Genomic DNA, 16,675 nt, shown 5'->3' with positions numbered 1-16,675 from the left:
TAATATAAATGATCAATTATGAAGATATAGTTGATTGGTATAAAACCATTTTTAAAATCTATATTGCTGCATAGTCTTCAGACTTTTATTTTCATTGCCGTGGGGAAGTTTGTATGAATTAGAGGAGCTCCATGGTTTTCATCCTATAAGGGACTTCAGAAAAATAGCATGAAAGCAAAACTGTGGTAGGGTCAACACACGGTGCTCCTTTATTTGGTTTGAGGTGTAAGTTAATAAATCACCTTCTGATAAGCTGCTGACAGAATTTATTTGCACCAACTGTAGTAGGGCCACCTCCTCCATATAGACACTGAAGTCCACAGTGGTGTTTGTGCCGTCTTTGAAAAGGACTGTCATTCCAGCATTCATAACCGCCAGGGCATTTTGCTGATGTGAGGCCTGTCGGAAAGCTGAAGCAGACTCTCACTGGAATACAACAAGAACGACTTTCTTTTTTCTTCTTCGAGACGGAGTCTCGTTCTGTTGCCCACGCTGGAGGCTGGAGTGCAGTGGCGTGATCTTGGCTCACTGCAACCTCCACCTCCCTGGTTCAAGCAAATTCTCCTGCCTCAGACTCCCCAGTCGCTGGGACTACAGGCATGTGCCACCACGCTCAGCTAATTTTTTGTATTTTTAGTAGAGATGAGGTTTCATCATGTTGGCCAGGCTGGTCTCGAACTCCTTACCTAAGGTGATCCGCCTGCCTCGGCCTCCCAAAATGCTGGGATTACAGGTGTGAGCCACCGCGCCCAGCTGACTTTTTGTTTTAATAAATTTCAAACCTACAGAAAAGTCTCAAGGATGGTACAATAAGTAATAATACCTATATACCCTTCACCTGGATTCACTGATCACCAGCAGTTAACATTATGCCACATACACTCACTCTTGCTGTAGCTAACCCCGGCTACCCCCATCAGATGGTTTTAGCTGAATCACGTAAGAGTTAATTATTGACATCATAACACTTCATCCTTAAATATTGCCTCATGTAACTCCTAAAATACAAGGGCTTTCTCCTACGTAACCTTACCATCATTGTCAGGATAATGAGACTTATTAATGAGTATTGAAACAATAGTGTTGTTTAACATACAGTTCATATTTGAATTTTTCCAATTACACAAATACTGCATTTACGATCTCCCCCATGGGAGCGGTGAAGATGTCATCTTCTTAGCTCTCTTGACTCCTTTACTCTAGGAAAGCTCTCCAGCCTTTTTTGTTGTTCATGACACTGACATTTTGGAGAGTCAGACTAGTTGTTTTGCAGCTTGCTGCTCAATTTGGGTTTATCTGATTCTTTTTTCATAAATTGATTTAGGTTAAACCTAGGGGGTGGCAAGAATGCTCAATGGGTGATAGGGGACAGGACCTGCTGCTTCGTTTTCTTCAACTTCCCACCCGCCCCCACTCCTGGCTGCAGACACCCTCCTGGAAACTCATGAACGTGTCATAGGCACCATTCTCACAATATCATCTGCCTTCTCATTTGGCAAATGTTTCTGAAGTCCTAGCATTCCTAAAATTAACCAGCACAGACTCTGCATATTGGGTTCTGTTGGTCAAGAGCAAGTTATCAGTAGTAAATCTTTGTTAATTTTATTCTTCTAATTTATTCCACCATGCCTCTAAATTATAGCTGGGGCAGGGGGACACCTAGCAATAGTTCTGGTTAATAGTGGCAATCGTCACTATTTATCTGTCCTTGGTGCTCATGTGCTACTCGGTAGAGTGTCAATCAATATCGAATTAGTGAATGATAGTGGGGGAAGGTGTCAACAAAATGAGTGTGCTGCTCTTCTCTTCTGGCAATAGCCATCGCTTTTCATTTATTGGTTGAACTGACCTGGAGCTGAAGAAGAGATTCAATAGTAACATCCACATTTGTTCAAGTTTTCGGTTGGCAAGCAGATATTGCCATTAAACAAAGAGCAAGTCAAAGCCACATTTTGCCCATCAATGAATACACGAACTGCTCATATTGGACCAGAATCTTAGTATGATCACAACTCATTTGGTTCCCTGTACATTTCTCTGAAGTTCTTATTAGTTTGAAGAAAACATTAATCTTGGGCAGTAAAGCCAAAATAAAATATTTTATAGACCGGGCACAGTGGCTCATGCCTGTAATCCCAGCACTTTGGGAGGCCGAGGCGGGCGGATCACGAGGTCAGGAGATCAAGACCATCCTGGCTAAAGTGGTGAAACCCCCTCTCTACTAAAAATACAAAAAATCAGCCAGGCATGGTGGCACATGCCTGTAGTCCCAGCTGCTCGAGAGGCTGAGGCAGGAGAATCGCTTGAACACGGGAGGCAGAGGTTGCAGTGAACCCAGATCGCGTCACTGCACTCCAGCTTGGGCGATAGAGCGAGACTCCATCTCAAAAAAAAAAAAAAAAAGATTTTATAAATAATTCTTTATTCCACTTAACTTCTCTGAGGCTGATGGTGGGTTTTGGTCATGGTTCTGCCACCCATTCACTGTGCAACTTTGTTGAAATAATTAAACATATTTGGGCCCCAATCTCCTCATCTGTACAATAAGGTTATTTATTTCTTTCAAGTATATGACTTGTCATTCCAGGGATCCTAGGTTTTTAGAGCTTTTGAAGAAGAAGGATAAGAGAACGATGCAATGTCCTGAAATTCTCTAATGACACAGATTGACATCTAATCTGTTATTGTTTGCACCTAGGCATATATACAATATTTGCTACAAATTCTACTTTTTATTATGCTGTATTCAATCCAAGATAAAAATAAAGCAACAAAAGCAAACAGATGAAAGTGAACATTTTAAACTTTATAATCTCATATCTTTCTAGAGAGAGGAATAAAAAACAAACTAGGACTTGTTCTGGTTTAAGGCTTGCATTGGTTGCTCCTGCAAGAAAATGACCATTTAGAGGAATTTGCTGTATTTCTTCCACTAGGAAGGAAAAAAAATTTCATTTAAAGATATTATATACTATTGAAACTACTATTATTAAATTTAGGATTTCTTATTCTGAAAATACATGCTAAAATTAAAATTAAATTGAAAAATAGCCACACATAATATCGTGACTATCCCAGATTCTGGTTGTATCCAGATGTATCTGGGAGCCCTGTCTTGGGAAAACAGTCTCCTACCTGTGCTAATGGAGCAGAACTCCTCCAGTTTATGGGGAACATTCTGTCAAGATTACAGTGTGCAACTTACAGGGAAGAATGGTGGGAATCAGTGGGTAAATGTGGTGACAGTGACAGACAGAGGGGTGTGTTGTGGGGAGAGAGATTGTGAGTGATTTTGAAGAGTTGAAATGTCTGGAGAGTGATGGTGATAAAAGCGGATATATTACTCATGAGAATAGTGACATTGGCTGATGAAATACAAATGCCAGCAGTAACATCAATAAATGAAACAACCTTAAAGTCCAGTGATTATTTTAAACCCAAATCCTAAAACATAGCCACACAAATAAATGTTACTCTCTTTGAAATGGCCAGCTTGGGAGAGATTATACATTTGTCTCAATAGTGCTGTCATGACATTGTGGGAACTCTGGGGGATATTCTTTCAGAGTCTGTAGTCTCAGGGGTGATAAATCTTTATCCTTTGAAGGTGAGTTTGATTTTTGGTAAGAGGTCAAAGACATTCAGAAACCAGTTTGACGTGTAAGGCAGTGGGTCAAATTGGCCATCACACTCTTTGGTCAAAAGTCTAGTGAAAAAGAGACTAATTTTTTCTCATGTAGTTTGTAAACCAAGAAGTGTTCTGTTCTGTCTTTTGTTTCACCATGTAGAGTCACTTCCTCAGCCTGGTCCTACTAGAACTTTCCTTTCAAATCAATGTACCTGACAAGGTCTGTATTATTCAATGGGCCCTTGGCACTATGAAGGGTATCTTGTGATTCTCATGAATCCCCTTCAGTGGATTTCACTGTAGTTATACATTTCCCCATAAAAGCTACTTATGAAATTGCGAGATAATAAAAAATACATATAGTGGTCCCTGACCTCAGTTCTTGAGCTCCTAAAACCCTGGTAGGTAGGGGCACTAGAAGAATCTTTGGTTTTAACATTTGGTCTTTGATCTCCAGGCCTGACACAGAGCTCCTAAGACCTTTGTAATTTCCTCAGTGACAGGTACATCTGACACAGAGCTCCTAATCCCTTGGAATTTTCTGGGTGACAGCATCTTCTATCCTAATGAGGTGGTGGTTGGTGGGCTCCTGGTTAGCCTGAGAATGGGGGCTGGTTGCCAAGGGAATCAACCTTGCAGTTAGAGAGTTGGAACTTTTAGCCCACCCCCTGATGCAGAGAGGAGAGAGGCTGAAAGTTGAGTGGCTCACTAAAGACCAATGATGTAATCAATCATGCCTATGAAATTAAGCTTCCATAAAAACCCAGAAGGTCAAGGTTCAGATGAGTGTCTGGATAGCTGAATGCATGGAGGTTCCTGCAGGGTGGCGTGCCCAGGGAGGGCATGGAAGCCCCACACCCCTTCCCACATCCCTTCCTCTATACATCTTTTCCATCTGGCTGTTAACCTGTATCCTTTGTAATATCCTGCATAATAAATGGGTAACTGTAGGTAAAGTGTTTCCCTGAGATCTGCGAGTCACTCTAGAACATTAACCAAACCTAATGTTTGGTTATGGTTTGGTCATGGGAGCCCCCAATTTCTATCCTATAGGTCAGAAGTTGCAGAGGCCTGGATTTGTGATTGGCATCTGAAAAGGAGGGCAGCCTTGTATGACTGAGCCCTCAACCTGTGGGGCCTGACACTGTCTCCAGGTAGGGAGTGTCAGAATTGAGTTAAATTAACTTGGTGTCCACTGGAGAACTGCTTGGTGTGTGAGGAAAAATCCCACACACATCTGACATCAGAAGTGTTCTGGGATGAGTGGTGTGTGAGGGTAGAAAAAAGTATGCTTTTTCCTTCAAAGTACCAAAGTATAAATTTTTAAAAATGTAAATGATCTCTTTAGAACCTAAGCAAACAAGTCCGAGACAAAAAGGAAGCCATAAAGCTGTTAAAATAAAACTGCCTCTAAAATAAAACTCTATGCTTCATTACATTCTAGTCTTGCTTTATAACATTAATCAATTACAAGTGCTTTGTCTCTTGATAGTGACTAGATAAGAAGAAAGACAGATTGAGATGGTTTCACACATGCTTCCTGATCACTTAAAGTGTGTCATATTCATCCACTATCCTGACAATGTCTGTGCTTCCAGTTCTATCCACAGCAAAATGAAAAGTTAGTATGGTAACCAATGATTTAAATAACAGGTTCATATTATTCCACAATTCTGCATTCAATACACTTATAAAACTGACATCAGCACTTCTGAGGGAATTCAGTAGCTCACGTTTTGAAGCAAGGTTGAGTACGCAATTGCCTACACCCAAAGCAGGAATGAGATCAGAAGTTGAAATTCTGCTAACAGTTGACTTCCTAAGGATGAAAATAAAAATTAATCAGCAACCTCAGGGCTTTTATTATGAACACTGAATTAAATAGAGAATGACATTTCTTTTCAGTCTCAGCAATTAGAATAAAAAGTGCCAGCATAAATGAGAGATTTTCTTGCAAATCTTAAAATGTTTTAGAGGAATCACTAATCCCTTTATTTATTGGCGAAACAGAAGTGTGAAGACAAATCGTGAAAATCACTTCCATGCCACCCACTTCTAATTTCTGATTAGGAGAGGACTCCAGTGATTTACATATGAAGAATTTATTTTCCAACTCTGCATGTCTAGCTTGCTTGATAATAGGAAATAGTTAAGGAGAGTAACCCCAGGTGCTTGCAGCTGGTGGTGGGTGGGTGGGGTTAGTAGAGTATATCTGAGAAGAAAGGGAGCAAGGGCTGTTTGGGGTGAGATGTGGAGGGGGAGGCAGGAGCTGAGCCAGAGAGGGTTTGAAAGAGGAGACTAGGCAGCATCCCAGAGACAGCGACATCTGCAGGGTGGGAAAAGTTGATCTCCCAGCCAAGATATCACCACTAAAACCTACCCATGGCTGCAATGCAGATTCAAGGAGCACAGAGGTGACAATATACCGAGAGATTCAGATGTAAGAGGGGGCAGAGGAGAGATGGCTTGTGGGCAACATACCCTGACAACCTTTGATCTGGGGAAGCTGCCTCCTGGAAAAGGCCATTGATGGGGATTTCATCATTGAAGAATTTACTTTGAGTAACAAATTGCAGCTAGAATGACTGAGATGAACCTAGCTGGTTAAAGGCCCTCCCTCCTATAAAGATAGAACTGTTGTAATCAGGCAGCCTAGAATGTGCATGTCACAGGATCCAGAAGAGGCCAGCAGAAACACCAAGCCACAGTAATCAAAGAGGAGGGTGCAGACCGGACCATAGAAACAATCCAGTGATTCTTTCATACAGAGGCATTGAGGGTTAGCAAGGATAATGCTGCTGCTGTTATTTATAGTTGATAATTACATGTATATTTGTAGTCAATATTTTACAGCTATATATCATATATCATAATTGGAATAATACAGAATTACACTGAAAGGTTGAGTTAATTGTGTGGTTCTCATTCATATTTGTTATCAGGTCAATTGTTCTCAATGAACCCATCAGTTATCTCTGTAAGTAACAAGTTAAAGAACCCCTTAGGGAGCTGTTAAAGATAGACATTTCTGGACTGGATAGATTCTCAACAGACAATTGCAGATATGAACCAGGTCATGGGTGGGTGGACCAGGAAGGCAGCACCTCCTCTCTGGCTCCCTATTCTGAAAACTTGGGCATTTAAGTGGCTTATCCACAAGGGTCTGAAATTAGGCAATCTAATATTTCAATCATGTGAAAAACACCAATGGATACAGCAGAAAGTGGTAGAAATCATGAATGATACAACCTTTCCTCACTAAACTACCCACACCCAGATAATTGGTGCAGAAAACCTACTGCCACGTTCCTGATCTATTGTCCAGCCAGGGTTCTCAGATGCTTCAAGAGAGCATGATGTGTCTGTGTGTTCTCTGGGACTTGGGGACCACATCAGCCAGGATGTCCCTCACCTAGGCCAGGCTGAGGCCAGGGTCAGCTCTGAAAGTGAGACACCTTCATTACTATTCTGTAAACCTGGGAAAGAAGAGGGTAAGTCGGAAAGGCCAGAGTAGGCATATAATGCCACCACTCTCTTTCATAAAAGACCCCTTTTTAAATTATTAAATAACACATCTTCATTGTAGACTACCTTGTAAATATAGAAAAGTGAGGAAAAGAGAGTAAACATGATTCAGAATCCCTGAAAAGCAATCAGAACCATTACAGCCATGCTTTGCGCTCTGCTCTAAGGATCAAGAGAGATTTTCCTCATCAGGTGCTGGGTAGCTCCTCTCCCACCATCTCCCCTGCTCTCTGCTCCAGCAACAGGCACTGCCTCCAGTCTCCTGCACAGTGTGTGTGCAGTTCCACCCTCCTTACCTGGTAACTCCCCCTTCCTTTCATCTCAGCTGAGAGAAGCCTTCCATAACTGTCCGATAAGTTTGGGTCACCCTATTACCTGCTCCTCTAACATCACATTCCACTCTTTCATAGCACTTGTCACAATTGCAGTTTTGCATTTCATTTGTTTATTTCTTTGATACCTGTCTTACCCATCAGATTATAAGCTTCATGAGAGCAAAGTCCAGGCCTTTTTCTTTAAGTCATTGTATCCTCAGTGCTTAACACCATGCTTGTTTCCTTGTCTAACTTCACCAAGTCCTTCCCATCTTTATGGTTGAGCTTGAATTCCACACCTCTTTCACCGTACGTCCTTTGGCTCTCTTATCTCTATCATTTCCTACTAAATTTGTATCCAGTTCCATGTGATTGGCACTGAATCATTCTCTAGTTGAACCATAATCCTAAGTGACACTATAGGTATATGCTGACCTGCCTGCCTGCTTTTCTGCCTCCCTCAATTCATAAAACAAATCGGAGCACCTACTGTGTGTCAGGCATGTTCTAAGGGCTGAAAGCACAGACATGTTATCCACTGTCAGGAAGTCAACATTCTCTTAGGGGAAGACAGTCATAACCAGACAATTGAATACGTCAGTTGTAATTTCAGATATGATAAGTGCTATGAAGAACCAAAGCTGGGTAATAGGTTGATTGTGAGAACCGGTGCTTGCAAGCAACCCCTGGTAACTCATCATGGTGATTACAAAGCATTGCCGTACCAGCAGCTGTTGCTCAGGACCATTGTTGTGAAACTGAAAAGCCTCAACTAATGAATCTCTACCTTGTGAATTACTTTTCTTTACCTTTCCATCCCATTCTGTATTATGAGTTTGAAAAAAAGAAAATATAAATATGTTTTATATTTATAATTGCTTATGTTTACAGGAACATAATGGTTCAATAGGTAATATACAAATGTTTTTGGAGTCTGTTTCATCAACACATGTGAATTCACTCAGCAGAGGGAGCTCATGCTTTAATTTTGGGAAATTGGACAGAAAAGGCTCTTGTAAAAAGAACCTGAAGTAGGCTTTGTGGCTCTCATTTTAAATAAGACTTGTTCACAGTACTTCTTGAAGCCGAGACCAGTTGCTTAAGAATGGTTTGATTTTCATTTGCATAAACAGATGCGACATTTTGGGGCAGAGTTTTCTTCAATAAGGTTCTGTTTTGCTTACCAAATAGACCAACTTAGACCAGGCATCCCAGCTCAGGAATCTAAGGATTCATCTAGAAAGAAGGTAACTGTCCCTAAGTTACCTACGTCTCTATGGCTTTTCCTATTACACCCTGAACTCAGAACATGCACTTATTTGACCTGTTTTAACATGACTGTGATTTGGCATTGAAAACTTACAAATAGAGGTTTTTGCCCTTTGAGATTATAAAACAGATATTTATTGAGAGTTCAAAGGATGTTCAAAGGATATTAACAACAAGGTGATTTAGGTTCAAAGGCAAAGACTGAGAGAATGAATCAATTTTTCAGATAAAGGGCCAGCACCATGAAGTTGACTCAGCGGTGTTGAAACCGCAGGTAAAATCAGCAACAGAAACCTACGGGGGGTGTGTGTATGTGTGTGTGTGAGTGTGTGTAAACTACAATTTTCCAGTTATTCAGAGAACTATAAAATGACTGAAAAGGCTGTTTTAGGTCAAAGTTTTTCTAGCATTATGCATGCTCTTATTGTGCATTTCTACAAGGAAAAAAGCAACATTTAAAAAACCTACTTTTTATTATCAAAGAGATTCGTTTGTAGAAAATACAGGGAAAAGTGTTGAGGAGCATAACAAACACAAGTTATTTTACTAGTGCTTGCAACTTTACATATACCTTTAAAATTAGTGTATGTAGCATTTAAGCGGGTATCTATTTTTGTCTTTTCCTTTCTTAAAAATCCCAGATTTTCCTCTCTTAAAAATCCCAGATTTTCCTCAATCAAAATTTAAAAGTCACTAAAACTGAGCTAATCCAAAAAAAGTCAATTTTGAATGCATTCCATAGATTGTGGAGAAATATTCCACTAATCATAAAGGAAAATATTTATGTCAAATACACTTATTGCATCACTCTGTAATTATTCCTTTATATAGCCACATTTCCCACAATACTATTAGTTCCTAGGGAAGAATTCATGTTTTTTTCGGGGGGATTGATTTACCAGCAGGTAGCCCAGTGCCTGGTGCCTGGTAAAAGCCTAATTACCTATAAAATTAATAAACAAATGAGTATTTAAAAATAGTTTTATTCCACCTGTACTTTTCACCAAAAAATGTTGATCTAAAGAATTGAGTCCTAAATTGTGGGGAAAACACCCATGCCTCTCCTTGTTGGGTAGCTTTGAAACAATTGTTAAAATTGGTTCTTCTGAGTTAGAGAAGGGAAAACCGAAGGAATACCTGGCGAAGTTCTGTGGCCTGCGAAAACGGTGCTTGCTATTTACCAGGGAACGTGGTAGCTGCTCTCATCTGCTACCGGAGGGAAGAAAAACGCTAAGTACGCCCTGAATCGTGGAGGTAGTTAGAGACAGCTGAAAGACTTCTGGGTGAACAACAAACATTTTGTTGAGCCCCAGCTCTGTGTAGAAAATTGAATCTCAACAGAGGATGTACAGTCTTTACCAGGATTTTCTGAATCTAGCAGACATTCTAAAGATCCTATGTGGTTCAGCATTACAGTGTCAAATATGATTTCCTCCAGCCACATGATCTCATGATTTGCTTAGTGTCAAATAGCCTGAGCTTGCTTTACCAGAACTATCTGCAACATCAGGATCTTGTTACAGTAAATGAGAACGCACCTTCTTGTATGTTAATCACTATAAATAATTCCAAAATCCTTGCAAGATGGATAATAATTGGATGGAAAACTTCTTTGAATTTCATATCAGGCCCTAAAAGACAGAAGGATTATCACTGGTGGGAAATAAATCAGCTAGATTTCATTTTGCAAATCACACTATGATTCAGAAGTGATAATTACAGATCCTAATAAAGTGAAATAAAACTATTACAATTGTGGCTTGTTTTCCTCCTCAGTAATTTCCCCGATATTGGAACTGAGTTTGATCCAAGCAGTAAATCATCTGTGGATTTTTTCACTCTAGAACCCAATAAAAGAAACATCCATTTTATTATTTACTGATGTTTTAAAAGAATGGAAATTTTAGCCTCAGAAAATTTAATTGCATTCTAGAGTTGGAATGAGAGGCCAGATTGCTCTTTATGAGCCAGATGTATTAATTGCATAACGAGTTGGGCACAGGGGGTGAATTTTAATCACCCAGGAATGTATTTTGATTTATGAGTAGATGCTGCAACTTACATCTCCTTTCGCTAATCTAGTTTTTCAGTATACAAAGTGAAAACCTGCTTCCCCATGAACTAAGGTTTCCCATCATAACAGGGGGGTGCTGGGGTACCTAAGTTTCAGCCTCAGAAGATCTTTCTGGGTTCCTGGAGTGATCCAGGTAGTTCTCTCCCCTTGGAAAGTCAGAGACCCCAAAAGAAAATGGGGTCCCAAATGGAGACCCCAAAAGAAAATTCTCTGCCATTCTCTGCAGTAGACAAATGCAGACTTCATGCTGATGTCAATGACAAAACACACACTTTATTACAGCTCACAAACTGAACAAGAATGAATGAAACCCACCATGGATAACAAAACACATAGAATAGTGGCCTAATTGATTCATAATAGAATCCACTGCTTTGCATATTTATTTTTCCATCTCTTACAGCTTAAAAAGAACAAAATGGATTTTAATTAAATCTTGACTTATAAGAATCCTATGTATCAGTGATGAGTTGTCTAATGTCAAATTTCCAACTGAAGAAATAATTATTGACTAAGTTATGAATGAATATAGCACATTACTAGAGAATTAACTATGTGTGCATTTATTGTCAGGCAACCATGTAGGATTGAAAAACACAGAGTACACCAGGAGACCCAGGTTCTAACCATGGCCTGGCCACTAAGTAGCTAGGTGAGTTTAGGAAAATCCTGGAACCTCTCTAGGCCTGGCTTGCTTTATCTGGAAATTAGGTATTTGACTAGATGATATAGAAAGTGCTTTTGGCTCTCAGAGGCCATTGAAGTATGGGCCACTGTGGCTCTTCGACCCCATTGAAGTGTGGAGTAAGGCTAACTATTGTTGGACAGCAGAAATACAGTAAAAACATAGAACATTAGATTAACTGAAGCCGATGGGGACCTTCCTCTCACAGGCCATTATTTTTTCCCAAGCAAGATTGAGGAGTCTCACAGCTACAGTTGAAAACTGGACTTTTCTCAATTAGCAGATGTAGTTAATGGGCAGAATTTCTTCAAAGTTTTCCTCTTCTCTATTTCTCTAAAACCAATGGCTGTGATAGCTGACAATAAAATGAAATGAACAAGTATAAAATAAATATTTATGAGGGCAATTTGCAAATAGTTGACCATGCTTAATTGGATAGCCTTTTTCTTTTTTTTCTTTTCTCTTCTTTTCTTTTTTAATGAGCTCTGTGCTCCCAGTTTTGATTCCATACAGGATCATCTATTAAGGTAATATTTTCTAAGTCTAAAATTGTTACTATTCCACAAGGTCTAATTAAATTTGCCACTATTTTTATAGTGCTCAACAAAGAATATGGCATTCAAGGAAAAGCCTTTGACTTCTGATCACTCCTTCACATTTATTACATGAGTAAATCTGAGAACCACTGATCTAGCTTTACAGAAGAAAAAAACAATGAGGCCCAAAGAGGGAAAGTGAGCTGGCCAAGGTGACACAAATGGTTAATGTGAACAGGACCATGAACCCAAGGGCACCAGGCTTCTTGGCCAGAGTCCTCTGAAACTGAAATAGTCCCACGCACCTGGAAGAAGAATGGTTTAAACAATTTCTGCAAGTTACTAATGAACAAGGGAACCATTTCTCAAGTAGGAATTGAATTGCTTAATTCATCTGAAATTAACTTTGATGATACCCCTGCAAAAATACTTTATGAAAAATTATTTTGTTCATTGTGGGAGCTATTGAGAGGGCAGATCTTTTGGTGGAATTTTCCAGTTTCATAGATGATTTCACTTTGAATGATTTCAACACTGAACAAAAATCATGGTGGAGAGGCTGCTGGAAATTGAGTAATAATTAAAGGCAGATTAGCTACGTGAGAATTGCCTTATCATAAGGTTCTGTAAATGTTGCTGTAAGTTATGTGATTTGCTGGAAAGATGACAGAGAGATGGGAGCCCCTGGGAATGGATTACAACTCTGATTAATGAAATAATGCATGTGTTCCTCTCATCAGGGGAGGCCAACGCTTCTCAAAGTGTAGTCTAGAGATACATAGAGGTCCCCATAAAACCTCCAGGGGCCCCAAAGTCAAAATTATTTTGTAATGAAAGAGATTATTTGCCTTCATCCTTCTCATTCTCCCATGAGTGTACAGAACTTTACAAAGGGTGCTTAACGTGTGTCATCACAACTGGCTGAATGCACAAGCAGATAACACGATTCCAGCTGCCTTCTTTTAAGCCTGTATCACAGAGATTTACAAAAATGTAAAACAATGCCACTCTTCTCACTGGTTTTCCTGTGGAAAAATATAGTTACTTTTCATGAACAATGTTATTTACGCTAATGTGCAATGGGTTTACTCTTGTTACTTTTAAATAAATTAACGAATGAATAAATGTTTAAAATGCTTTTCCAGTTTTAATATCAAATACTACAAATGTCAATATTTAAAATCCACATAAACAAGGCTCTTTGGGGTCCTTAATAATTTTAAGGGTGTAAGCAGCCTGAGACAAAAACGTTGAGAATCACTGTGTTAGGCATTTGTGACACAATGGTGAATGCAGCACTCAACAGTGCCCTCGTGGAGCTGGCTTGAGTTCACAACCTAGGGAGTAAATAGGCAGTCAACTGGGAATGGAAATAGCCTATAGGGGAAGGACAGAGTTCTGTGGGAGCACAGGGTGATCCTCTTGAATTGGAAGGATTGTTTCAGTGAAAGAAATGAAGAAGGCATTCCTTAATCATTGCTTTAGACTTCATCTCTTCCATCTCTTAAACATTCAGCCCCTGCCTTTTAATTTTATTCTCCCCCATCAACATTAATTTATTTATTTTAGTTTAGTTTAATTTAACTTAATTTTATTTTTTGAGACAAAGTCTGGCTCTATTGCCTGCTGGAGTGCAGTGGCACGATCTTGGTTCACTGCAACCTTGACCATCCCAGGCTCCAGAAATCCTCCCATCTCAGCCTCCTGAGTAGCTGGGACTACAGATGTGTGCCACTATGCCGGGCTAATTTTTGTACTTTTTGTAGAGATGGGATTTCACCATGTTTCCCAGGCTGGTCTCAAACTCCTGAGCTCTAGTGATCTGTCTGTCTCCCGCCTCCCAAAGTGCTGGGATTACAGGTATGAGCCACCATGCTTGGCTTACCAACAACATTTAAAACTACACAAGCTCCTTCCACTAATAAAGAAGGCCAAAACCCCAAACTTCGTCCCCAGTTCCCCTCCATCTACTGCCCTTTCCATTGCCTCTCCCTCAGCAAAATTTGCAAAGATTTTGCAAAATTCTTTTTGCATCACAGACTTCATTTCTTTCCTTCTCTATCTTCAACACACTCCTACTGCTTTTGTGAAGATTAACAGCGACATCTGCATCAGTATTTTCAGTTCTCATCCCACTTGGTCTCTCAACACTTGCTGTATTTGACCAATCTCCTTCTATTTTCTTGAGATGAAGTCTTACTCTGTTGCCCAGGCTGGAGTGCAGTGGCGCGATCTTGGCTCACTGCAAACTCCACCTCCTGGGTTCAAGTGATTCTCCTGCCTCAGCCTCCCCAGTAGCTGGGACTATGGGACTACAGGCATGCACCACCATGCCCAGCTAATTTTTTGTATTTTTAGTAGAGAGGGGTTTCACCATGTTGGCCAGGCTGGTCTCGAACTCCTGACCTGAGGTGACCCACCCGCCTTGGCCTCCCAAAGTGCTGGGATTACAGGTCTGAGCCACTGCGCCCGGACCTGACAAATCTCCTTCTTAAACACACTCTTCCACTGCTTCCGGAATACCCCAGTCTTCTGAATCTTGCACCCCCTTGCCACCCTCTCACTCTCAGTCCCTTGGGTCTACTTATTCTAATACCCATTCGTGAGCCTTTGAAATTCCACCGGCTTAGACCCAGGGTCTCTTCTCAACTACACCCTCATCAGTACTCCTGGTTTTGATCTCAATGATCAAATGTAAATTTATACAACCCACCTTGACCTCTCCTCTGAGCTTTCAACTACCTACTTGATACTCCCCTTTGGATTTCTTAAAAGGATCTTAAACTGGTATGTGAAAATCCAGATTCCTGATCTGTCCCCTGAAAGGTGGTTCTACTCCAGAATCCATAACTCAGCCTCTTACTATGTAAATGCTAAGTCTAGGAGTCACTCCTGACCCTCCTTCTTGTCACCCTTTCCTGGGCCACTGTGGTAACCATCTGTTACCCTGCATTCACTTGTGTTCCTCCCAATCTTTTCTCCATACAACAGCCAGAGGGATCTTTCACAGTAGTAAATATGATATGACTTTCCCCCATTCAAAGTCCTTTAATGGCTCCCCCTTACCTGTGCAAAAAATTCCTGCCCATCCAATCTGAATTAAAGTCCCACCTCCTGGCCTCCACCTTCCTTTCCAGCCTCCTACTATGGGGTGAATGTGGGTGTCATAGTCAACTCTCTAACATGACATGTCCTTATCATTTGGAATTGCTTGATTTCTTTTTAATTCCCACATTCTGCAAAGCCACAGACCAATGCACATGACTTTTACTTTGCCTAGAATTCCCTCTCCATGTCCCATTTATTCTCCTTCGTCACATCTTGATAACATGTGTTTATAATTGAAGTTTATCTCCAGCTTAACTCTTTGTGAAGCCTCCCTGAATGCTCACCGTGTCCTAACTCTTGCTCTCCGCTATACTCCCAGAGCCTGGGTCGCAAGTCCCATGTATAACCCTCTTCATGTTCTGCTGCTGGTGGTTACTGACAGGTCTGTCTGTCTCCTCATTGGCCTGTGAGCTCCTTAGGGGCAACTGGTTTGTCATTCCTGTATCCCAAGTGGCCAGCTCAGTGCCTGGCACTTGGAAGTCTCCTAAAAGAAGTTTGTGAAACAAATACGGGTGAGTCCAAGGAATGCCTGAGGGAAATATTCAGAAAATAAAAGAAAAGGGGGCAGTTAAATGCTGTCAATCTGTGCGGAGCTGCTCTGGGAGACAGGAAGGCTGTTACCGCACTTACCTACTCATCACGCGCATCCTGGCTTTTCCTTCTGGCTTCATAAAGGTGCTTGTGTGGCAGAATGGACTGTGCGAAGGTCCTGCCCTGGACCAGAGGGAGAGGAGTTCCATGAGGTGAAATATAAGGGAAAAGGTGCGTCCACCTGGGGCCAAGTCTGGGATGAAAAATGCTTTTCATAGGTTCCTGAGGGTGACAGTTGTACAAAGGCCTCCTTGGGGGCAGAAGGTGGCAAAGGCACAGCTGCAGATGGGCTGATGAGACTGTTTATTCCCTCGCAGTTGGCATAAAAGCAGAAGTAAATCAAAAGAAAGAACATAACCGTTAGTTCAGATGGAAATAGCAAGTTCCTGGGTTGGGTCTACAGGCTGACATTCTTCTTTCTTATACGATTTGGTACAAATCATAAGGGAAAAAATTAATGTTTCAATTTTTCAGTAAAAACAAAGTCAAAGTTTGATGAGTGTCATGATTGTTAACAGCCTACTGTTGAGTTTCTCCTCTCTGGTGGGCCTGGACTGGGTACTGGGGACACAGGGTGCTGAGAGACAGCCCAGCCCTGCAATTGCATTCTGGCTGGAGAAGGCCGGGGGTGGGAGGAGCGGAAGGAAACTGGCAGCTGTTAAGTAGCTGCTCTGTACTGGCAGCTGGAGACAGATGAACTGCAAGGAGGGGTGGCAGGAGCTGAGCATCAAGGAGTGGTACAAACACAAGCTCCCCAGGAAGCCAGGGAGTAAAGGGCTGCAGAGGCTCCTCCGGGGGAGCTTGTTCTTACTTACTTTTCTATTGGTGTCAGAAGCATCCAGCGTTGCTTCAAGGAGGCCATTCCTGGTATTGCCCTTAGACCCTGGGTCACTGGGTCCTGTGGCCCTCTCTCACCATTCCCATCCCTCAGGAGCAAGGGAGGGA

At 41.1% G+C, this 16,675-nt stretch overlaps 2 pseudogenes across 2 annotated transcripts in view; both read right to left on the bottom strand.

Moving 5' to 3' along the window:
- The window catches only part of AOX3P-AOX2P (AOX3P-AOX2P readthrough, transcribed pseudogene), a 99,193-nt pseudogene extending 83,135 nt beyond the window's left edge, over positions 1-16,058 (bottom strand). Inside the window, exons 1-2 of one of the 2 annotated variants that reach the window (NR_135011.1) lie at positions 15,770-16,058; positions 11,344-11,850 (exon numbers count right to left, since the gene is read on the bottom strand). The product of NR_135011.1 is annotated as an AOX3P-AOX2P readthrough, transcribed pseudogene, transcript variant B (transcript). The remainder of the gene's footprint in view (positions 1-11,343; positions 11,851-15,769) is intronic. The other variant, NR_135012.1, reaches the window with a different exon arrangement.
- AOX3P (aldehyde oxidase 3, pseudogene) overlaps positions 1-16,058 on the bottom strand; it is a 43,059-nt pseudogene extending 27,001 nt beyond the window's left edge.

The sequence above is a fragment of the Homo sapiens genome, chromosome 2 (genome assembly GCF_000001405.40).
Source record: "Homo sapiens chromosome 2, GRCh38.p14 Primary Assembly".
Classification (NCBI taxonomy): Eukaryota; Metazoa; Chordata; class Mammalia; order Primates; family Hominidae; genus Homo; species Homo sapiens.
The sequence above is the reverse complement of the archived record's forward strand: the minus strand, read 5'-3'. Positions and strand labels throughout refer to the sequence as shown.